Source organism: Homo sapiens, chromosome 2, assembly GCF_000001405.40.
Source record: "Homo sapiens chromosome 2, GRCh38.p14 Primary Assembly".
In the NCBI taxonomy this organism is placed as follows: Eukaryota; Metazoa; Chordata; class Mammalia; order Primates; family Hominidae; genus Homo; species Homo sapiens.
In genome coordinates this window covers 103,381,380-103,407,373 of record NC_000002.12, presented here as the reverse complement: position 1 = coordinate 103,407,373, position 25,994 = coordinate 103,381,380, and the positions used below count along the sequence as shown (strand labels likewise).

Sequence of the window (25,994 nt, the reverse complement as noted above, 5' to 3'; positions counted from 1 at the left end):
ATCACGAAATTGAAGGGCATCTACAAATTGACTCTGACTGTTCTTCAGTTTTCTAATCTGCTCTGTGCTGGCTCATCAATCATAGGACCACAGACTTTTATAGATGAAAGAGACCAGAGAAATTGTCTCATACTTTTTTTTTTATCTCCCCTAGCAATTTCTGAAGGCAACATTAGCTTCCTCATATGTGCACTAACATGTTGAAACAGATGGTTGTGGACTGAATATGTGCTTTGGTATTGGTATTACTATAAGCAAATTATAAACAGATAGCTCACCTCAGTGGCCGTAGCTGAGATTTTCTAGCACTATAAAATATTCCAAGTTTACCCAGACCATAGGTTTAACATATTTCATTAAGTTTGATCAATTTTTATTAGATAAAGTCATTATTGGATTTCATTGATTGCCTACTATGTGCTAGACACCAAAGATCAAAAAAAAAGATAAATAGTACACAGCCCTAATGTTCAAGTAGAATATAATTGGATGGGGAATATAGATGCATAAGGAGATAAGGATAATACAACAGTGTGCAATGGTAAAGACATGCACAGGGGACCACAGCATTCATGACATCCTATGAGTACTTAACCATGTGTGGAGCCTGGCTCTAAGCTCGCTATATGTATTGATGAAGTCAGTCCTCTCCATAACCCCATGAGGTAGGTACTGTTTATACCCTCACTGTGTGGATAATGCTGAGAGGCAAAGATGTTAAGTGACTCGCCCAAGGTCACACTGAGTGAATGGCAGAGGCAGTATTCACACACAAGAAGTCTCACAAGAGCTTCTCAGGAAGGGCCACAGAACACCTAAACCAGCTGAAGTAAGCCTGTAAGTAGGAGGGGCAGGCCCATGGCATGGGGCAGAGCACTCATGGTAGAAAAGGCAGCTTGCAAGAATGTTGGCAGTGGAACCCAGCTGCGTGTGTGGTCAGAGGATAGCAAATTCAGTCTTGCTGAAGAGCAAGGTACAAAGCTGGGGAGCAGAGGCATGAGGGAGGCTAGTGTGGAGTGGGGGGCTTTGACGGCCATGCTAATGCATGTGCCCTTCCACCTAAAGGTCAGGATTTCCCAAATTGTGCTTCCTGGTTGGGCCTTAATACAACGGCTCCATAGTCACCTTAAGAAACTCAGCTGAACACATTTTATACAGAGTCCTTTTTACCAGGATTTTCCAGAGTCCTTAAAATACTAGCATGTATTGTAAATCTCTAAGAGAGAGATACAGCTTTCAGTGTTCCCCCATAGTTTTTGGATCACTGAATCTTTTAATTCCACGGCATTTCATGAGACTATTACTGTCTTTCAGAACCCACTGTGGGGCAGACACTGCAGGCAATGAGGACTCCTGCAGTCAACTGAGCATAGAAGGGAGATGATGAGACAAGCGCCTTTGTTGATCCTCTGGATTTTGTAGGGAATTTGGGTTTGAAAAAGCCAAAACGGGAGGTATAGGGACTACTAAGTGCTGTGTCTGTGCTATGCAAAATTGTCTTGAAGCACTTGTTCCTCTTTTCTTAAGGACATTTTTGCCTCTCCTATAACCTCCTCCATCCTTCCTCAAATTCTGTCTTTGATTATTTGTGACAGCTAAGTCATGAACAATATCTAGCACTATGTCTAGAATATGGAGAACTGAAGAATATTAATATGCAAGTATTGTGTTGGGCATTTAAGGCTCATGGTTATTTTTTGTTGTTGTTGTTTTTTAAGAGACAGGGACTTGCCATGTTGCCCAGGCTGGACTTGAACTCCTGGCTCAAGGGATCTTCTTGCCCAGGACTCAGCCTCTCAAGTAGCCATGAAAACCGGTTTGCACCACTGCCCAGCCTGGCTTTTTGTTTCTTTTTTTTGTGGGGTTTTATTGAGGCAAAATTTCACTCTGTTGCCCAGGCTGGAGTGCAGTGGCGTGATCTCCGCTCACTGCAACCTCCGCCTTCCAGACTCAAGCGATTCTCCTGCCTCAGGTTCCCGAGTAGCTGGGATTACAGGCTTGCGCCGCCATGCCCAGCTAATTTTCTTTATTTTTAATAGAGATAGTATTTTGCCATGTTGGCCAGGCTGATCTCAAACTCCTGACCTCAGACAATCTGCCCACCTCAGACCCTCAAAGTGCCTGGATATTTTTTTTTTAAATAAAGATTATTGAAGACCATATGTCTTCAAGAGTCAAAAGAATAAATTATAAAGGTAGAAAGTAGACAAAGGTGTTGATACCTTGGGAAAGTAGAAAGTAAGAAAGCAAGTAAGATAAGGTGCACAGCTAATTGCTCAGCTCCTGGATTCCCTTATTTTGGATAAACCTCATATGGATGAGAATCATAAAGGCTCAATTCCTTTACCTTTGTAAAATGTGGAATATCAGAGTTGTAGCAAATGTGGTAGGGCCAGTGACTTGGTTTTGATGGCAGATTTCTATAAGGCACAGGAGAAAGTAAAAAATAATAATAGAAGCTATATAACTGGATTAGAGCTAGAAAAACATATTTTTATACCCTATGAATATTAACATTAATTATAAAATACAGTAGCCATTCAAATTTTCACTTGGTTCTTAAAAGTAAAAACAGCAAATAACCAGGAGAAATTTTTGTATCTCTGAAAGCAATGGAAGTTTATTAGCAAATATATACTAGGACAAGAAACTCCAAAATTTTTAATATGATTAAGACTCCTGGGGCCCACATTTACACTAGCATAGGTGTTGTATACTCTTAAACATAGTACAGATAAAGCATATTGAAAATAAGAATTGAGAAATTGAGTTTTCCTACATTTAATTCTAAAATCTTTTTTTTTTTTAATTTCAAGGAAAGCTTAACATTTCCTGAAAGAAAAGTAATACGCCTATGCATTTTTACTGAAGCAGGTAGCTTTATTCCAACAGTTTGGAACTACAACCCAGAAAGATTTTCTTCCACTGTCAGTTTTGGCTTTAGGCATTTCAAAGTTAATAGACCGGGTCAAGTGAAGGGCATATTTGCAGCCTGTATTGGATAAAAGTGAACATAAATATGCTGCTACCAAATGACTATGAGGAAACATTTATAAGGAGATGAAAATTAAAAAACAAAATCCTGGGACAATAAAGTAATTGGATTGAATTTCAGCAAATAGACACTGCCTCTTACTTGTAGTCCATAACAGGTTTTATTTTATTTTTATTTTATGTTATTTGAATTTATTCTTGGACTAACTACCTGCCATGCTCGCTTTGCTTCGTGGCTCTCAGCAGTAGCGTTCAAGCAAGGACACTCCAGTTATGAGAGGCCTCCCCAATGGCTGATATTAATTTGTCTATGAGAGCATAAATGCTTCTGGTAGATATTATCAGGAAACAATTATTTTGACAACTTTTTTTAAATTGCTAACTAGTGGGAAATTTTTTATTTTTGCTCTTAATGCATTTGAGGCCATTGTATATTTCAATAACCTCAGTATTATCTGACCAGAAGATGCAATGAACGATAACATCTGATGTTAACCTACATATGACTTTTTACCACGTCATTTAATCTGATAATTTTGTAAGGTATTAAAAATTAAAAGCACATTTTATATGTGAGAACCTTCATTATTCAAGGGTTTCTCTTTGTCCAAATAAAAGTAATCATGAAGTGTCACACGCGTCCGTGTGAAGAGAGCACCAAACAGGCTTTGTGTGAGCAACAAGGCTGTTTATTTCACCTGGGTGCAGTGGGCTGAGTCCAAAAAGAGAGTCTGCGAAGGGAGATAGGGGTGGGGCCATTTTATAGGATTTGGGTGGGTAGTGGAAAATTACAGTCAAAGGGAGTTGTTCTCTGGTGGACAGGGATGGGGGTCACAGGGTGCTCAGTGGGGGAGCTTTTGAGCCAGGATGAGCCAGGAGAAGGAATTTCACAAGGTAATGTCATCAGTTAAGGCAGGAACTGACCATTTTCACTTCTTTTGTGATTCTTCAGTTACTTCAGGCCATCTGGATGTATACGTGCAGGCTTGAGCTCAGAGGCCTGACATAAAGTATGCAGAGAGCTATGAGATTCTGTTTTCTAAGTTTTCTGGAAGAAATCTACCAAGTCATTTTTTAATAGTGTACGGTTTTGTTAATTTTACTTGCATATTCTCCAATTGAGTTATTCAATGCCACTTCTCTGAAGCTCAAATAATGGTAATTATAATGGAATGACACTACTATCTGCTATTTCAATAGATATCTCTTGCTTGGGCCACGTGATTCAGATAGGCAGAGAACAAAGCCTCATTGCATCATTCTTAAACACATGATGAGTAATAAAGGCTACCTCACTCACGGCTTGCTCTCGAATTAACCTCAATCCAAGGATCTGCAGGAATATAGGGTCTTCCAAACTTCATATTCTGACCAAATTCTGCAACGTAATATCCTCTCACTGCTGTGCTAGAAGAAAAGCAAAAATAATTAAGAAGCCACCACCCTCACTTCCCCAGTCTCCCCAACCTGATCATCCTGCCCCATGTACCCAGAAATTAAATGCAAAACTAAAATACTAACTCTGGAAGTCTTGGTTTGGATTTCAGGTTTCACCTCTGAGGTATGTATCCAGAACCAAATTCCTCAGCAATTCCCCATGAAGCTTAGGGAGTCGTTATTGAGGTGTTCTAGACCAGCAGTACAAGCCCGGCATAAAAGAAGATCCTGAGGAAATGTGAAGCTGTGTTGTTATCACTAACTGCAGACCTTGCATTAGGGCCTAGAGTTATAGACAAATGTTTACAGAAGTGTCTTTAAGTTCGCCTGCTTTACTTGCGTATTTCACCCCTCATGGAAATTATAATGCAATAAAAGCATATTTCCAACTGGCAAAAATACTTTCCAGGAAATTCATCTTGTTTTTACTCTTTATCACTTCTTGTATACAAATTAGAACATCTTGCACAAGACCTGTGTCTTGCTCAAGCATTTTATATCTTGAAAAGCTCAAAATTATATCTTTGGTTTGAAATCTGAACATATCTATAGCATAGAATACCCACTCCCTTTATAGATTGCTGGCAGGATTTGCTTTTCACTTTGGGGAGAAATCTATTCTTTGTAGAATATTCCCACACATGTCTGTGTCTATTTCTCAGAGCGGTGCCACAAAAGATATGACCCTTTTGCTCCCAGTAACCTTTCATGGTGCTGAATCGCCTTGGACGTTGGTGCCAGTCAGCACGATTTGATTTGCTATGGTAAGAATAAGATTATATGTAACAGACGATGTCATTTCCAGGTTCAATAGGCACAGATTTAAAACTAGTCCTCTCTTTGACCCTCCGGATTCTCTTGAACTCTTGCACCTTCTTTGACAGTGTTTGTGAATGAGCGAATTCATGAAAATTCAAGGTTATTTTAATGATAATAGCACTGCGATGACAAAGGAAGAAGGAAGGGCCCTCTCCTCAGCCCAGAGCTCCTTCCCCTGAGCCGACTTCCTTCCTGGCAGACCAACTGCAGAGTGAATTCCTGTTGATGGTCAAAGGCTGAGAGCAGTTGTGTGTCTGCAACCGTGCTGCTGCTACTGATCTGTGAACATGACATGCCTGAGAATATCGCATCACCATGGCAACAACAAACATGGGGCTAAATTCCATTAGCTGCAGTGACTCAGTGAGTCAAATAGATAATGTGCTGGGCCTGGCCAACTGCCTACAAAAGCCTATGTGAAAGTTGTGATGAATTAACTTCAGCTTGTTATGGCTGCTTTAGTATAAATTCTCTTTTTTGTTACTTAAGTCCTTATATTTATGGCATTTGTTAAATAAGCACTTAAAAACCCATTAGCTAGTCCCCTTCCAGTAACGTACATTTGGGACTACTTTCTGCTATTTAAAATGCCCTTGATTCTCACATCTTTTTTATTTCTTGCATTTCTCTAGATTCTTTTTCTAATCTTTTTTTTGTTTTGTTTTTCTTTTAAATTAGTGACAGGGAGTTAAAAAATTTACATTGCACTTAACTTCAAATGATTTTATTTGAAACATATAGAATGAGTTTAAAGCTGACAACATTCTTCACCGAGATCAGCAATATCAAGATTTCTTAAGGAGAGAGCTCCAGGTCAAAAGGAGGAAAAAAAAAATAAGTTCTTTGATATACTCAGTGCAATTGAGGGAACATCAGTTCTAAATAAGATTAAAGAATGTAGACATTTTCAGAATTACTTTGAATGTATGAAGTTAATAGCTTTAAATTATATGACCTATCTACCTTCTAATATCATAAATTCAAAAGGGTTATAATCTTCTTCAAAGAAAAATCTGATTGATACAGTAAATAACTTACCTTCTTTTATACAACTAGTTAGTGTCAGGGTCAAGAAATAAAGAATTTTAGTATAACTTATAAGAATACGCCAGCTTAGCCTTTTTTATACCATGCGAGGTGCCTCCTCGGCTTCACCCCCGCTTCAGTAGGTACAACATACATGCTCTTGTGAGCTTCCTCCATAACATAATCATGTAAAATTTGCCCATGTGCTGGATAAGAGATGATGATGGGTATGTGGATTATTACCGACCAGATGAGAACTCAAGATATTCAGTTCCTGCCACAAAAGAAAGAATAATGCAGGCAATGAACCATAAGGAGTATCTCCTTTAATAATTTAGACAAGAAGAATAAGCTCAGCCTACTAGTTAGGTTTTCCTCATTATGCCCATAACCCACCTCATAATAGTGCATAAGAATACTAAACATGAGAATTTTTCATAACTGTCAACACATATATTACTGTTTTTCTCCAGGAAACTTTTAATGAACAAAATGAAATCAAACACACACACACACACACACACACACACACACTTTATTTCTTATAGCCAAAGATACATTTTTTATGTTTGCTTGTTCTTTTTCCCAACAAAGCCATAGAGATAATAATTGGAGATACTATGAAATCTCATATGTTTTAAAATACTCCCTTTACCCCAGATCATTCCATCTTCCTTTTAAGCATATAGTGTTCTATATATAGTGTGCATATTGTGTATTTGCCCTGGAGCAAGTGTAAATTATGGAGAGAAGTCTACTCAAGAACCCTGAGTAGTTGTCCTGAACTACAAGGACTCTGTTGGGAGCAGTGAGTATGAAAGGGCAGGGCTTAGATCCTGCAGGGTCTGATTTGTAAGGGGCTGAGGGTCTCAGGCTGGGGAAGTCCTTTGCACAGGACAGGGATGTGATGAAGGTGATGCTTGAAGACAATCTAGACTCAAGAGCACAAAAGATCAACTGAGTACTTTTAATAGTCCAGTCATGAAGTGCTAAGGTTTGAGGTACTGACTGGTGCAAGAGAAATTGGGAAGTAAATAGTTTTATGTTATTGTTGTTAGGTTTGTAACTTTGATGGACCTTTTTCTCATGGAAGCTAATCATGATTTTCTCTATCTATCTGAAGTATTGGAATATAACCATTCTACCAGGGAAGCCCACATGCTTGAATATACCAGGACATATACTTAGGAAAAGTCTACCTTTATCAGACAAACAGTAAAAATTCTTTATTCCTCTTGTCCTCCCGCTAGTTATTTTAAAGCATTCAACTCAATGCTTAATGCTTTAAAACCCAGTGGTGTTTTTTAGCCAGGCGTGGTGGCGGGCACCTATAGTCCCAGCTACTCGGGAGGCTGAGGCAGGACTGTGAACCCGGGAGGCAGAGCTTGCAGTGAGCCCAGATCGCGCCACTGCTCTCCAGCCTGGGCGACAGAGCGAAACTCCGTCTCAAAAAAAAAAAAAAACAAAACAAAAAAACACAATGGTGTTTTCTTCTCTTTCTCTAAAAAACAGACAGGAGGTATTTAGAAATTTGGAAATAACTCGTCTTTTTTTTAGAGAAAGAGAAGAAAATGCCACTGACTCCTTTTCTGTTTCAAAAGCTCCCTCCACGTATAAGCTTGCAAAAATTATGAAAAAGGTATGAACTGTTTCTTAAATAGTAAAATTAGTATCTTCAACCAATTAGAGGAAGCCAACCTAAGCCAATTAATAGTTCTAATATGAAATTGAATTAAAGTAGTAGTATTTTCAAGTTATTTGCACTATCCTAAAATAGGGCAACATTTTTTTTTCCTAAAGAAATTGTTGGCCGGGCGCGGTGGCTCACGCCTGTAATCCCAGCACTTTGGGAGGCCGAGGCAGGCTGATCACGAGGTCAGGAGATCAAGACCATCCTGGCTAACACGGTGAAACCCCGTCTCTACTAAAAATACAAAAAAATTAGGCGGGCATGGTGGCAGGCACCTGTAGTCCCAGCTGCTCGGGAGGCTGAGTCAGGAGAATGGCGTGAACCCGGGAGGCGGAGCTTGCAGCGAGCCGAGATCGTGCCACTGCACTCCAGCCTGGGTGACAGAGCGAGACTCCCTCTCAAAAAAAAAAAAGAAAAGAAAAAAAAAGAAATTGCTACAGAATGCTAGGTAATAAATGGTTAAAAGTTATTTGCAATTTGCATATATGGTTAAAACTTATTTGCAATTTGCATATACTTTTTAAAAATGAGAATGAGTGCAAAGTGCTTTAGGATATTTGGAAATGGTTTGTTCCTTTAAGTATTTCAAGTATTCCCTTTCCTTGTACTCTCATTTATAAAGAGTTAGAAGGTAAACCTCAGCTCACATCTCTTTCCTACATAATTCAAATGCTAAAATATATATTTTTTGAATTACTGAGACTTTTCCATGCTCAAAAGAATCGATACTCATTAAATACAAAAGCCTTTGTTTATAACCTAAGATCAATTGTACATTTCCCATTGTCTTGAGTCCTAAGATCCTGCTGTCTAGGTGCTGTTTTCAGGCAAGTCCCTGGGTGACTGAGGCAAATCCTTTTCAATATAGTGTCTTTAATAAGTTGTGAGCCCCAGCCTTTCAATTCCTTTTGTTGGAGTTTTAGAGGTGAGCAAGGTGAACTTCTTGCCAACTCCAATTTGTTCCTTGTCTCTATGTGCATACATGCCTCAGATCAGCATTGCAATAACTCTAATGGGTCAAAATGCAAGACGCCTATGCCCTATGTCACTGTACAGCAGTTGTGTTTTTAGCTTTTCCTCAACTCTCTTATGTGCTCCTGTTACTTTTTATTATTGCCATCCTCTTTGACATATCCGAGGCTGCCCTCTCATCAGTCTCAAAGTCAACACATACACCAGGTGACAGTATTATCCGTAAGTTCGGCATCAGCGCCCCTCCACCATTGTGTCAGCATCTGACCCTGCACCGGTTCACGGAGCTATTGTAAATTCAAATTCATTTATTTCATGCTGGGATTTTACTGATATTTAGAGGGAAAATGATCTGCTTGAGGTAAAGTGGAGAAGCAGACATCTTTTCATTTTTTGTGAATTGGATGAACTAGAGAGGAAACTAGAGGGAGAAGTCCTTGTTCTTTAAAGGTCTATGTATAATCTTTCTGATTTCTAATTTGGCTTCTTCTAAACCATCAGGGAACATCTCTTCCCAGGAGCTGTTTTTCTCTTTATTTCACATACAGCTTAGAATGGCTAGATCAGGTTGTCCTTTAGGACTATCAAAAAGTAGTTTATAAAATATAAGATCCGAGTCCTAAAAATCCTATGGCACAAAGCCTCTGAATGGATTGACCACTTCCTCCTATTTTTTTCAGCCAGTGTCTTAGACTAAAACTGTGATGTTCTTAATGCCATGAGATTATCCATCACGAAAGTGACCTTCTTCTGTTTGAGTAACTCAAAAGCCTCTTTTGAATGTTCTTCAAATACAATAACAAGAAGTCCACAAACTATTGACATCCCATTACAGATGACTTTTACTTGGCCATGAGGACTCTTGCCCTTCTAGAAGACACATTATGAAACAACTCTGTCCCCTACAGCCCTATTGTTCTGTGCCACAGCTCACCTCCTTGCTACGTTTCACTTGTTTCCAGGCCAGCCTGGATGGGTTTTCAATAGTATCATCGAAAGAGAAGGAAGGAGAGGTTCATTGCTTTGCATTGTCCTGCCCTTGAGTAGAAATGCCTGCCTCATCAGCTGCATCCACAGTATGGATTCTGTCTACTCCTCCATTTCTTTGTAAAACAATATTTATTGATAGCCTGTTTCTTAGTCTGTTCAGGCTGCTGAGACAAAATACCATAGAGCCAATGGTTTATAAACCACAGAAATTTTTTTATCTCAGTTCTGGAGGCTGTAAAGTCCAAGATCAAGGCACTGGCAGATTCACTGCGTGGTGAGGGCCCACTTTCTGGTTTATAGGTGGTGCCTTCTTGTTGTGTCCTCTCAGGTAGAAGGGGTGAGAGGGCTCTGTAGGATATCTTTTATGAGTGCACTAATCCCATTCCTGAGTTCAGTTTTCATGAGCTAATTATTTCCCAAAGGCCCCACTTCCTAATACATTACCTCAGGGGGGTGAAGATTTCAACATATGAATTCCTGGGGGACAAAAACATTCAGTCTATACCAACTTCTTCTGTGCATGTTACTAAGTAATTTTACAATGGAGTTTCTATATCCTCGGTACTAAATATAGTATTTACCTGAGAAAGTCACATTCCCAAAAGTCAAAAAGTCAAAGAGAGCAAAGTGAACATTCTCGAGATCAAAAATGGAAATCAGCTGTAGAAAAAGTTGCTCATAAAGCTTAGACCATCTCTGTCAAGGACTGATTCAAGTTTTCAGAAAAAACTTTTAAAAAGATTTTTCTGAGAATAAATTTTTGTTTCTTGATTTATATTGAACATATTATTTTCTTTATCTGGAACATATTTTCCAAGTATTTAAATCAGTCTTTTTATTTTTTATTTTATTTTATTTACGTTAATGAGCACTTACTAACCCCAGACCCTGAGAACAGAAGTATAAAAATCAAAGGACTTTGGCCCAGGAAGCACATTCTCTAAGGGAGGAGACAAATGAGAACAAGATGCAAATCACTGCAATTCAGCAAGGCAAGTGTCATGGCAGCACCAGGGACAAAGTGACCAAGAATGCAGTGACAAGGGTGGGACAGAGCAACCACACAGGCAAATGCTCAAGATGATCCGTGCTCTGGCACAGTGGGGAGCCAGGGCTGGCCAGAAAAAGAGTGTATAAGCCAGGAATGGCTGAAGTGAGGCAGAAGCCTGCTGAGAAAGTGTTACTTTATCCTGAAAGACCTTGAGCATGAGAGAAACAAGATCAAATTTGAATTTAAAAAGGGCACTGTGGCAGAAGTATGCAAGAGAAACTGGAGCAAGGAGAGAGGAAAGATAGAAAGAGGAAGAGAGAGATAATGAGAGCATGAACTTGGAGAGTGGTGCTTCAGAGCACCTTCTGAAATTGGCATTTTGCCCTCTTTAATCAAATCAATCTCTCTCTGTCCACACACCCAAGACATGCATACACACATTTGCATAATGTTTTACTTCTAACCAGTCATCTCTGTAAACAAAATCTTATACTACTTCATTACTTGGGAATACAGTTTGGTTCATAAATATATTTTATAAGATACATTTTCTAATATTATACCTAATTATGTATATTTATGTCTAAAACTGTGTTTGGAGAGTTTAGTGTCATTATTATAATTAAACAAATAATAATTCAGCATTTGATGAAATAATTTCATAATATTTAAATTCAGAAACAAACTCAGGAATACAAAGGAGCAGAAGGGAAATTAAAAATTAGTAAGATAAATCATTACCCCTGTTTGGAAACTAAGTTTGTCATGAGTGGGAAATACAGGCTTATGTCATTTTTACTCATGGGGCTTGAGAGGGGCTTCTCCTTGAGAGGCCAGAAAATGGAGAAAGTGCCCACAGGCTTAAATATCCTGGGATGGCCTGAGCTTCCTCAGCATAGACGCATGGCACTGCCTTCACACCTGCCTTGAGTCACACACGCCATTGCTTCATCATCACACTGTCTTCGCCACCTGCCACATCTCACCAAAGCAGTGAGAGCCCCCAGTTCAAGAGTGCTGACCTGGGGAGGGAATCAAGCCAAGGGTTGTCTAAAACACCTCCTTCAGGGATCAAAATTATGACTCTATATGTCAGCTACTACCAAATCATGGTGGCTCGCATGTTGATCATGCAAGGAGAGAGACCTATAATGCTTTTTGACCACATTATGGTTTTGGGATTAAGTCAATCATAGGATGTGCACACAGGGAAAGTGTTGTAATTGTGCAGTCAAATTTCCACTGTGTTGAATACAGGTCACACAGTTATCAGAGCATTGTGTTCGACATGCAGTCTCCTGAGTGATGCAAAATAGAAGGTGAAGTAATTTACAGGAAAGAATATCGAAGTGGTCCAAACTATAAATCTCATCAAGGATATTGAGTTGCGCATACTGGATAAAGGAAAGCTATGCAATCATGTAAATTTCCAAAAATGTAATATAAGTTCTTAAATAAAAGTGAACCTAAATACACTCTTACACTCACCCAATCAGCTACATTCTATTAGACATATGTGCTTCTTCGGATAATTGCCTTTTATAATAATAGAGGACTAAGCACATAGTTACCTGGAAAGTATTTTAGAAGCGAGCTAGATAATATCTAGAAAATTGGGTTTTGTTTGTTTGTTGTTTTTGTTTTGCTCTTGTCGCCGAGGCTGAAGTGCAGTGGCACAATCTCGGCTCACCGCAAACCCTATCTCCCGGGTTCAAGCGATTCTCCTGCCTCAGCCTCTGGAGTAGCTGTAATTACAGGAATGTGCCACCACTCCCAGCTAATTTTTGTATTTTTAGTAGAGACGGGGTTTCTCCATGTCGGTCAGGCTGGTCTCGAACTCCCGACCTCAGGCGATCAGCCTGTGTTGGGATTGAAGGCCCCCCAAACTGTTGGGATTGAAGGTGTGGTTATGTGGGATTCTGTCATCAAGCTAATTTACTTTTTCCATTTATGCTTCTCACATTTTAAAATGTACTTGCCTTAATAATAAATGTTGCACAAGTAACCTGCTGCTTTTCTTTTTGTTGTTTTTTTCTTTTATTATACTTAAAGTTCTGGGATACATGTGCAGAACATGCAGGTTTGTTACATAGGTATACACATGCCATGGTGGTTTGCTGCACCCATCAACCTATATTAGGTATTTCTCCTAATGCTATCCCTTGCCTAGCGCACTGACAGGCCCTGGTGTGTGATGTTCCCCTACATGTGTCCATGTGTTCTCATTGTTCAACTCCCACTTACGAGTGAGAACATGTGGCGTTTGGTTTTCTGTTCTTTTGTTAGTTTGCTGAGAATGATGGCTTCCAGCTTCATCCATGTCGCTGCAAAGGACATGAACGTGTTATTTTTTATGGCTGCATAGTATTCCATGGTGTACATGTGCCACATTTTCTTTATCCAGTCTATTATTGAAGGGCATTTGGGTTGGTTCCAAGTCTTTGCTATTGTGAACAGTGCTGCAATAAACATACGTGTGCACGTTTCTTTATAATAGAATGATTTATAATCCTTTGGGTATATACGCAGTAATAAGATTGCTGGGTCAAATAGTATTTCTGGTTCTAGACCCTTGAGGAATCGCCACACTGTCTTCCACATAGTTGAACTAATTTATACTCCCTCCAACAGTATAAAAGTGTTCCTATTGCTCCACATTCTCCCCAGCATCTGTTATTTCCTGACTTTTTAATGATTGCCATTCTAACTGGCATGTGATGGTATCTAATTAAACTAAAAAGCTTCTGCACAGCAAAAGAAACTATCATCAGAGTGAACAGACAACCTACAGAATGGGAAGAAAATTTTTGCAATCTATCCATCTGACAAAGGGCTAATATCCAGAATCTACAAGGAACTTAAACAAATTTACAAGAAAAAAAAAACCCGATCAAAAAGTGGGCAAAGGATATGAACAGACACTTCTCAAAAGAAGACATTTATGTGGCCAAGAAACATATGAAAAAAAGCTCATCATCACTGGTCATTAGAGAAATGCAAATCAAAATCACAGCGAGCTGCTTTGCTTTTCTACCTTTTATCACTGAACATGACATTTAGGTTTCCAACATAATTAAAAATGATAAAAGTTTTTCTGAATATGATATTTTGTATATTTTGTAGCTAATAAAACGATTCTTTTCTTGACTGTACAGATTTTCATTCCCTTTCTTAATACTTTCTTATTCATCTCAAATGAGAAACACTTTCATAGAAAAAAAATCACATGATTGTGTTTATGTAGGGTGGTGAAAAAAAGCTTTATTTTATTGAATTCTAAAGTTCATGTTAAAAATTTCTTATAAATGTCATTAAGATCTTAACTTTGCCTTGACATGTAACTTGGAAAACAGTCTCATATATAGCAGATATAAATGAAACAGTATATATATATATTTATATATATATTTATATATTTATATATATTTATATATATATTTATATATTTATATATATTTATATTTATATATATATTTATATATTTATATATATTTATATATATTTATATATATTTATATATATTTATATATTTATATATATTTATATATATTTATATATATTTATATATTTATATATATTTATATATATTTATATATTTATATATATTTATATATATTTATATATTTATATATATATTTATATATTTATATATTTATATATATATTTATATATTTATATATATTTATATATATATTTATATATTTATATATATTTATATATATTTATATATTTATATATATTTATATATATATTTATATATTTATATATATTTATATATTTATATATATTTATATATATATTTATATATTTATATATATTTATATATATATTTATATATTTATATATATATTTATATATCTATTTTTATATATTTATATATTTATATATATATTTATATATTTATATATATATTTATATATCTATTTATATATATTTATATATATTTATGTATATATATTTATATATATTTATGTATATATCTTTATATATTTATGTATATATATTTATACATATATATTTATGTATATATATTCATACATATATTTATGTGTATATATATTTATACATATATATTTATGTATATATGTTTATATATGTATGTATATATATTTATATATGTGTATATATATTTATATATTTTTTTATATATTTATATATATTTTTGTATATATTTATATATATTTATGTATATATTTATATATATTTTTATATATATTTATGCATATATATATTTATGCATATATATTTATGTCTATATTTATATATATATATTTATGTCTATATTTATATATATATATTTATGTATATATTTATATATATTTTTTAGATGGAGTCTTGCTCCGTTGTCCAGGCTGGAGTGCAATGGTGCGATCTGGCTCATTGCAAGCTCCACCTCCCGGGTTCACGCCATTCTCCTGCCTCAGCCTCCCGAGTAGCTGGGACTACAGGCACCCGCCACCACGCCTGGCTAATTTTTTGTATTTTTAGTAGAGATGGGGATTCACCATGTTAGCCAGGATGGTCTTGATGTCTTGACCTCGTGATCCGCTCACCTTAGCCTCCCAAAGTGCTGGGATTACAGGAGTGAGCCACTGTGCCCGGCCATGAAGCAGTATATTTTATACCTGCAAATTATTTCAGCCTCCATATTAAAAAATGATACAATGACGGTGATTACTAAGCTATGTGTTTTCTACAAAAAATTGAGGAAATTTTGAGTTTCGGTAAATATATGTCCACATCTCATTATTAAATTATGCTAAACAAATTACTAATAAATATGGAGAAATATCTTACAGAAATGAAGACAAATTTAAAAATTATATGCTGTCATTTTTAATGATTATGTAAAATAAATTAATTTTAGACATTTATTGTCTGTATAAATAATTATGTTGCTGATTAAATAGACAAATATAAATTATAATGCAGACTGTAGAATTTGTAATTTCTTTTAAAAATAAGCAAAATGAAAAATGTCAAGATATCACATACATTAAAACAAAATTTTTTAAATTTTTTTTTGCACAAAATTGTTACAAACTTTTAACAACAGAAATATTTTAATTACAAATATAAGTTAAGGTGTTTTTCAAGTTAAATATTTAATAAAATAATTAAGCCATATTATATTGCAAATCCTTAAAAACTCTTATAGTTTTCATCTTTATTAAATAATTTATTGATTATAATTATGCAAACTTTGACAAACATTAAGAACTCTAATTTGTTTTATAATCTTTTAACTGTAAGTTTATTAATATGTTGTATTTATTCTCATCTGGATATCTGGAAATTTTATATCCACAAATTACTTCAGCCTTTATATTTGAGAAAAATGATACAATGACAGTAATCGCTAAGCTATCTGTTTTCTACATAGCAGTGTGGAAATTTGGAGTTTGCGTAACTATATGGCTGTGTAAATAAAATATTAACAATAATATTTTTAATTACTATATTAAAATCCTCCCATTTAACCTAATCCGTGGTTATTTCTTTCTCCAATGGATACCTCTTGTTTATTGTATTTATAGCTAAAAAGGCTGGAATTTATTTAAGGAAAGGGAATTTATTTGGTAAGTGTGTTTATATATGTGTAGCTTTATGACACACACACACACGCAACATAAACTGGGCTCTTAAAGTTTGCTTCCTATTTTTTCATCATCTGTGTTTTTCTATCATTCTAAGTTACTGTTTCTAATTTAACCCTGAATGGGCAATCTAATTCAGTCATTAGACGTCAAAAATTTTGGCTCAATTATACTTTATAACATGGTTTTAACTAGAAGAGACTTTCATATCATCTTTCTGTTAAAATATCAGTGGAAAGAAACTTTCATTTCTATATCCTTAATAATAAGAGCAGAGGAAGAAGAGACAAATTTGTAGCAAACATGTTCTATGCACTTTAATTTATCAAATACATATTGAACATAAAATATGAACAGAATTTTTTAATGATGACAGAAACACAGTGGTAAAAAACAAAATCATAGGCAATTTAAGATCCTATGGGGAGACTGACGATCAAACAGGAGAGTGTATTGCAGTTCAACAAACAATCATGACAGACAAAAGCTGGGTGTTGCCAAGTTTCACAGAACAGGCACCTAATCTAGAACAGCGGGATTTTGAAGGGCGTCTTGAAGGTGGTGACCTTTAAGGTAGGACCAGATGAACTAGAAGTAGCCAAATGTAGAGAGGCAGAGGGAACTATGAGAGACATTAGAAAATGCACAGGCCTAAAATGAAGTGTGCCCTTTTAGGGAGTGGTAGAAATTTGATTTAACTGCTTTTTTAATCTATTCTGATTTTCCAGAAAGAAACCAAAATAAACAAACAACAAAAATAGCCTACATCAATATCTGTAGAGAACAGTTTAGGAAACACCTGGATAGCTACCTAAGGCCTCATGAACAGATTGTCTCTGTGCTCTCTTCTTAAGAAAGCTGTTTTCTTGGAGATTAAAATCTAGGCTTTCACCTTAGATATCAGGCCTAGAGGAAGTCCATTCTTTAGGCCTTGCCATTACTCCATTCCACACCCTGCACTTTTCCCACCAGGGCTACACCCCCAAACCCCCAGAGAGAGATTCTCTGGGCCCTAGGCTTTTGGAGAGTGGTGAGAACTCTAAGGTCTGCCATGGGCACTTGCCCAGTAGAAAAACAGCAGCTTCCATATGGAAATTGAGCAACATAGGAAGGGGCGAGAGGCCCTTCTGCAGAAGCAATTTCACGGAGGGGAAAAAGAAGGTTGAGACTGCTCGGTTTAAAAATGGATATTCTGCTGTGTGCAGTGGCTCACACATGTAATCCTAGCACATTGGGAGGCCAAGACAGGAGGATCACTTGAGCCCAGGAGTTCAAGACTAGCCTGGGAAAGAGAGTGAGCCCCGGTCTTCACACAAAAATACAAAAATTAGCCAGGCATGGTAGTACCTGCCTGTAGTCCCAGCTACTCAGGAGGCAGAGGTGGGAGGATCACTTGAGCCCAGGATGTCGAGGCTGCGGTGAGCTGTGATAGTGCCACCACATTCTGGCCTGGGTGACAGAGAAAGAACCTGTCTCAGAATAAATAAATAATGAAATATAGAAAAATTAAAATGGGTGTTTTGGCAAGGGGTGGGGCAAAGACTGCTCATTTTTGCTGGTGGACAGGGCAGACCCCATTTGTGCCCTCTGAAGTGTGAAGCCAGGGCTCTGGGAAGAAGATTTTCCACAACTAAAGAGCTGAACAGAGTCCTGCAGTGGGCAGAGACGGTCAGTCATACATTAAAGAGGAATTAAATAAAAAGAGAAAAGAAAGGAAAGAGGCCTCTTTCGCGAAGTTTCTGGTTAAAGAGCATAAACATCATGGGCGTTCATGAGGATACCACATCCTCATTTTGGAGTTTTTCTGGTGAAGAATGAAAGCAAGGAGAGGTACCAGGACAGACTTCTCCATTGATGAGAGTTGACTGAAAACTGTTCGACAGGATCATGTCTGTGTAATTTGCTCTTTTGCCGTGCCCGTCATGGGGCCCTGAACAGAAAGACGCCACTACATATGGCTTGATGATTGTGCAAATGATTAGCTTTTACATATCACAAAGGTGTGAGGATATAAAATTCCACTGAGACTTTCAATTGGGAATTTTCATCTTTATTAGATGTAGAAATAGCTCCATGATTTAAAAAAAAAATGTGTGAAACATTAGAAATGAGGTCACTTTGATTCTAGATTATAGCTTACTACTTGTTACAGAGAGAAACACATTTTTTTCATCATTTATATCTGTTCTTCGTGGGGGGGCTGAAGAAGCTGCCAGGCCTGGAGATGACAAGTTTCTGAAGATTTAGATGGAAGTAAAGGTAGACAAAGATCCCAGCTGCTGGGCCCATTCTCTCAAGTACTAACTGTGAACCATGCTTCTATACTGAAAATTGAGGGCATGGCCAGTTAAACTAAACTGAATTATTCTATGCTAAATGCTGTGTTAGGGAACTGCTCTCACCCAGGGCAAGAAAGGCAGGTGAGGTGAAATGAGAAGGGCACAGAGATTGAGAGAGTTTTCTTAGCAGAGAGCCAGACATATGGGATGTTCCAGACATGTGAATTAGACTGTGGCCACAGTCACGTATGTGAAGGAGAAGATGACAATGAGCTGGAGAAGCAGGCAGGGGCTACTTTGTAGAGGGTTCTTTGTGCTGTGCTCAGCGTTAAGCTCTTCATCCTGCACACAACCAGGAGCTACGGAAAGAGTTCTCCTTAGCCACTGAAAATGGCAGTCAGCCGTTTCATTACACAATCTTCCCTCGCAGTAATCTCAAATCTATGTCTGCTTACATATCCAATGTGTGGGCGTTGAAATTGATTTTATTTCTCCCATGCACCAATGGCTACAACATTGCACAATATTAAACAACTAGGTATACCATTTAACACACTAGGTGATATTGATTGAGTTTGAAGTACAAGACAAAAAAAAATATGAATTCCATTCACCAACCAGGAACAACATGGTTAAAGAAAGCAATGTTATTTCTATAAAGTATCTGATTATTTAAAAGTCTGTAGTAAATATACATTATTTTCATGAAAAAAATCTTAAGGAAAGGATATGCTAAAATTCTGAGAACTAATTTGTTAAATAAGACTAAATTTGCAATGAAAATATTTTCAAAATTTAAGACAAATAAGCAAATTCTAATCTGTAAGTGATCTCTTACAAAGATTTTTGATAATGTGCTAAAAAGAATGTACTAAAATGTTGGGTCTTAGGTTGGTGTTCATTTGTGATATTTTCAGTTCGTCAGAGTGAATCACGTTTATGCTACCATTTGAGTAGTCTTATATGTAAGCTCATAAGACTTTCTGAGCATTATTTTTTCTTTTTCTTTTTTTTTGAGGTGGAGTTTCGCTCTTGTAGCCCAGGCTGGAGTGCACTGGCATGATCTCGGCTCACCACAGCCTCTGCCTCCTGAGTTCAAGCACTTCTCCTGCCTCATTATTTAAAAAATAAAAATAAAGTGGTAAGCTAGTTCTAAGCAGACATTTATGGGGGAATTTCTTTTGGTTAACCCTATTCTTCCAATTGTTTAATAAAGCAACACTTTATGTTGCTTTGTTGTAATGGCAACTTTAGTTTGTTGTAATGGCATTTTATGTTGTAATGGCAACACTTACAGAATATCAAAGAACCATAATCTTCATATGTAATAGAATACACGAATCATTATATTCTTATTTAGATTAATCTTATTTATATCTAGATTTGCTTATACAGGCATGCAATTGCTAACACTGGGGACACCTTAGGATAAATATGTCATTATGTGAATACCATAGAGTATATTTACACAAATCTAGGTGGTATGGCCTTAAACACACCTAACCTGTTGCTCCTGGGCTACAAACCTGTACAACATGTTTTTGTACTGACCACTGAAGGCAATTGTAACAGAACAGTAAATATTTGTGTATCAAAACATAGAGAGCATACAGTAAAAATACTGTTATAATCTTTTTTTTTTGTTTTGTTTTGAGACAGAGCTTTGCTCTTGCTGCCCAGGCTGGAGTGAAATGGCGCGATCTTGGCTCACTGCAACCTCTGCCTCCCAGGTTCAAGCGATTCTCCTGCCTCAGCCTCCCTAGTAGCTGGGACTACAAGCACCTGCCACCACGCTCAGCTAATTTTTTGTATTTTTAGTAGAGTCGGGGTTTCACTATGTTGGCCAGGCTGGTATCAAACTCCTGACCTCAGGCGGTCCACCCGCCTCAGCCTCCAAAAGTGCTGGGATTACAGATGTGAGTGACCGCACCTGGCTAAAAATGCTATTATAATCTTTTGGGACCATATTCACGTATGTGGTCTGTCATTGTATAGATAATGTATTTTATAAAGCTTTGATCATAAATGTCATAAAGTGTTTAAGTATTTATAATTACTTATGTCATATATCATTTATTTCTATAAATATCTCTATATAAGTGTGTATATATATTTGCTTGCACATGTGTGTACATTGACACACATAGGCATACATATATAACTGACTCAATAATTTATTATAGCCCAAAGATTTGATTTTGTACTTTTTCTTTCAGATTCTATAAATACATGCAAGTAATTTTATTTAAAATACTACTGTTTAGAGTATGGAAAAAACTGAATTGATTTTAGATTCCCAAGAGAATGCTCATTTTTAATGAGCATTCTAATTGTATTACATTAGAGTTTATCTCCAGAGACAATAAGGGCCAATTTCAGCGAGGCTTTAGGTATTTTACCCAGGAAATTTGCTAATGTATATAATCAAACCAAATAATGAGGTATAAATACAGCGAGCATACAGTTTTGTTTGAAATATATTCAAATGCAATCTTGCTTTGTGTTTCATATTTAGTGAGAAAATCAGTAATGATGTACCGAATAATTCAGAAAAGAGATGGCCCTGTGAAGCATAAATCTCCTTTCCCTTTAAAACCATCAATAAAAACATAGATATACAAATGTAGGTGATGCACAAACAGACATAATGCAAACACACAACACAGAGAGCAGAAACCTATAGAAACTGTGGCAGGGAGGCAAAAACCTAGAATGAACTGGGCTCATCCAAGCATGATAGTAGAAATATTAAATAGGTTTTCCACAAGACCAACTAGGGAAGAAGAAAACTATTTCTAAAAGATATAGCCTGTTGTTTAGCAACCCAAAAAAGTTGACATACCTGCTCAAGTCTAATTTTGCTTGTCTTTTCCATTAAGAAAAATTAATTTCTAAATCGAAAGAATATATTGTAAAAGGAGAGCTATTCTTCTAGTTTTGGTATAATAACAGAAAACACACATTCTTCTAGTTTGGTATAATAACAGATAACCTCTTGACTTAAACAACTAAAGCATGAACAAAATACATGAAACAACAGTTTTTAATCATTTGACAACAGTCAGAATAGGCGAGTGATCTCTGAGAGCAAAGAAACAGAAAGGGTGAGCACTGTGATTGACCCACCTGCTGCTTGGAGAGCATCTCCAGGATGCAGGGCAGAGATGGGGTACCCAAGAGCTGAAGATACAGGTTAGGTTTCAGGTAAGGCAAGGTTGATAGAATTTGCAGGGCAAATTACCAAAGTGGAGAGAATTGTGCAGAGAGGAGATTTGCAGATGGTTTCTCCTTCTGGAAGTTTACACAATAGAAATACATGTCCACAAAAAAGACTTCTACAGAAATGTTCAGTGCAGCCTTTGTCCCCCAGTAGCCATAAATTAGAAATAACCTAAGTGTTGATCAAAAACCAAATAGGTAGGCCGGATGCAGTGGCTCATGCCTGTAATCCCAGCACTTTGGGAAGTCGAGGTGAGTGGATCACCCAAGGTCAGAAGTTCGAGACCATCCTGGCCAACATGGAGAAACTTCGTCTCTAATAAAAATATAAAAATTAGCTGAGCATAGTGGTGCACGGCTGTAATCCCAGCTACTCGGGAGGCTGAGCCAAGAGAATCACTTGAACCTGGGAGGTGGAGGTTGCAGTGAGCCAAGATCGTGCCACTGCACTCCAGCCTGGGCAACAGAGCGAGACTCCACCTCCAAACAAACAAACAAGCAAACAACAGAAAAAACAAATGGGTAAATAGATCATGGCATATCCACTTAATGGAATAATGGGATACTACTCAGCACTAATGTGAACTCTTGATTTAAAACAAGAAGAATGGATGAATGTAGTGAGTTTAATGCTGTTCCCCTGAAAAAAATGATATGCCTTTGTCTTAAGACCATGAACCTGTAAACGTGAACTTAATTGGAAAAAAAGTCTCTGCAAATATTAGTAAGAAGCTTGAGATGAAATCATCTCACATTACTCAAGTAGATTTTAAATCCTATGACCGATGTCCTTACGAGAGACCAAGAGAAGACACAGACGCATAGAGGAGACGATGATCTGAAAACAGAGGCAGAGTTTGGTATTATGTAGCCAAAAGCTAAGAAAAGCCTGGAAGAGGCAATTAAAGATTCTCCTCTTTTCAGCACCCAATGACTCCTAACTGTCTTGCTCACTACCACAGTGCTGATTATTTATGACCACAAAATTATTTCACTTAAAAATAAGTGAGGCATTGTATTGAATGGGAATCAATGTTATTACCAGTTATCTCATCCTTCTCACAATGGCCCACTGAATATTTAGGTATAATACTAGTTAGGTAAATGTTACTTCCAGTAAAATTAGAATCATAAAGAGCTCAGACCTATTTGGAATGCAGGTTTAGTTAAATCTGTCATGTAAAACTATCTTCACAGCTGAGATGCTGACTGAGGGCAAAGGGAATGTGGAATAAAAAATAGAAAACCAAAATTATAAGTAGCAACTCTAGTTAGATAAACAGAGATTAAATTCATAGCTAACATCATTCTGGCAGCATTTCCCACCGTAATTACTGATTTTCAGAAAAGAGCAACCACAGAGCTCTCCCAGTTAGCAGGACTGCACTCTCAAATTTATTTTTCACAGTCATGGTGAAGAATGTCCTCCGTACCCTCCTCCTAGGGTGAGTGAGCAGATCTGACATGATCAACCCCCCCTAACATACGAATCTCCATGAGCATTTGGATAACTTCCTTTACAGTGTGTCAAGGAAAATCTAGCATTTTAACTTCACTAAGCGTAGGCCATCTTTTGGTTCATGTTTCAGCCAACTAATCAAACAAACAGATCCCTTTCTAACTTCTCAAACAGCAACATTAAACTCAGAATCTCTGCTTAGTAGGCTCATGCCAATAAATACATCTTGCTCACACTGTATATATCTTCCACTATTACTTCATTTCCACACATATTCCCTGGAGTTTTATCTCCATAAATTGGAAAAATAATGTAGTTGGAGCTTAGTGCATGTCCTCATAGGTCACACTTTGTAGATCCTCTCTAGAGGCCTGCTAAAACCTGAGTCTGGTTATAGCTCTACAAACAAAGAAGGGTGATGGGGATAAGTCCTGAGGAAACTCAGTATTATCTTGCATGACAATTAGAATAAAGTGAGACCATTCCTCAGGCAAAGCAGAGTTAATCCCTCAGATGGAAATGGAAAGGTTGCTTTTTTTGGCCAATGAGTCTCGTCAGCATTTAGGGATTCAATGTCCCCAGTTTTCTCAGGGTTTTCTCATATATCCCCATTTCAATTTTTAGAATCTTATCCTCTCTTAGCCAATATCCTTACTTTCACAGCAGCCACCTTATGAGGTTGGGAATTCACTGTGGCTGATAATTTAGCCACTCACAGAATGAGGCTTTGGCTTTGGTTTTTAGCAATCTAAGCTCTGCAGCTACAGAAGATAAGAATTTCTTTTAGGGCAAACATACAAATTTTCATGCAGCACCTGGGGTTTTGAGTCCCTGAGCTCATCCTTTACTATTATCACTTTGCCTAGTACAACTAGGGGTCAATCTCATTATGCACATTAGTTTGACAAAAATGTTCTAAGGTGTCAAATACATGGTCACTCAGAATCTTGCCTTTTATAGATTTTGAATAGGATTATCCAATGGTAATCTATCTCTATTGCCACGTCATACCATGAACTACCAATTCTATCTTTACAACTGGAAATAGAGACATTAGTGCCTTTAAATCTAATCAGATTAGAGAACCAATGCTGGACACCTCAGAACCAATTCAGAGAAACTCATCATCTTTAAGCACTAATGGTAACAAAATCTATACCAGTTAGTATTCTATAGAGCAACAGTATCGATAGGATATATATGATGAGAAAGAGAGAATGTGAGATTATTTTAAGGAATTGTCTCTTACAACTGTGGAGGCTGGCGAGTCTAAAATGTATAGATCTGTAAGATAGGCTGATAGGCTAGAAATTCAGGTAAGAGTTGATGCTGCAGCTGGGCGCGGTGACTCACGCCTGTGATCCCAGCACTTTTTGGGAGGCCGAGACGGGTGGATCATCTGAGGTCAGGAGTTCGAGACCAGCCTGGCCAATGTGGAGAAACCCTGCCTCTATTAAAAATACAAAAATTAGTCGGGCATGGTGGCACATGCCTGTAGTCTCAGCTACTTGGGGGGCTGAGGCAGAAGAATCGCTTGAACCCGAGAGGTGGAGGTTGCAGTGAGCTGAGATTGTGCCACTGCACTCCAGCCTAGGCGACAGAGAAAGACCCTGTCTCTCTGACCAAAAAAAAAAAAAAAAAAATTTGATGCTTCAGTCTTGAGTCTAAAATCCACAGGGCAGGCCAGCAGGCCAGGAGCTCAGGCAAAATTTCTATGTTGCAGTCTTGAGGCAGAATTTCTTCTTCTTTGGGAAACTGTTCTTAGCCTTCAATTGATCGGAGGAGGCCTACTCACATTATGAGGGTTAATCTGCTTTAATTGAAGTTTACTGATTGTGAACATTAATTACATCAAAAAATAACTTCACAACAATATCTAGACTAGTTTCTGACCAGCCAAAAGGGTGCCATATTCTGTCCAAGTTGACAAATAAAGTGAATCATCCCACCCTATATTAAAGATCAGTGCTTATTTTTGCTGTCAGTATACTGGCCACTCAGAAGTGAGCTACCACTTTGGGAGGATGAAGCAGGAGGATTGCTTGAGTCCAAAAGTTCAGAACCAACCTAGGCAACACGGCAAGACCTGATCTCTCAAAAAAAAAAGAAAGAAAGAAATTAAGTGGGTATGGTGGTGCATGGCTGTGGCCCCAGCTACTTGGGAGGCTGAAGTGGGAGGACCACTTGAGCTCAGTAGATTGAGGCTGCAGTGAGCAATGATCCTGCTACTTCACTCCAGCCTGGATGACAGAGCAAGACCCTATTTCAAAAATAAATAAATTAATTAAATAAAACTAAATGAATAAAAGAAGTTTGCATCCACAATTGTCCCTTTGAGAAAAAGTCCATGCTGCTGAGCCCGAGTATAAAATCTAGACGTGCCACAATGGCCATTTGTCCTCTAGCCCATAAGCAAACAGTGAGATTCCTACAGAAAATGACTGACTTCCACAAACTAGGTCATCATATCCACCTTAATGTAGAGTCTCCTTTGTGGAGTGGATCTTTCAATGAGTATTCA

The 25,994-nt window shown here is 37.3% G+C and overlaps 2 annotated features.

Annotated features, from left to right (window-relative positions):
• Positions 4,008–7,186: an enhancer, noted in NCBI's record as "VISTA enhancer hs1555". NCBI's record gives its function as "enhancer in: neural tube[4/5] | hindbrain (rhombencephalon)[4/5] | midbrain (mesencephalon)[4/5] | liver[3/5]" and the evidence as "EXISTENCE:transgenic organism evidence [ECO:0001131][PMID:17130149]".
• Positions 5,198–5,728: an enhancer, noted in NCBI's record as "OCT4-NANOG-H3K27ac hESC enhancer chr2:104018104-104018634 (GRCh37/hg19 assembly coordinates)". NCBI's record gives its function as "activates a minimal SCP1, AML or CMV promoter by ChIP-STARR-seq in primed H9 embryonic stem cells {active_cell/tissue: H9 hESC(primed)}" and the evidence as "EXISTENCE:reporter gene assay evidence [ECO:0000049][PMID:30033119]".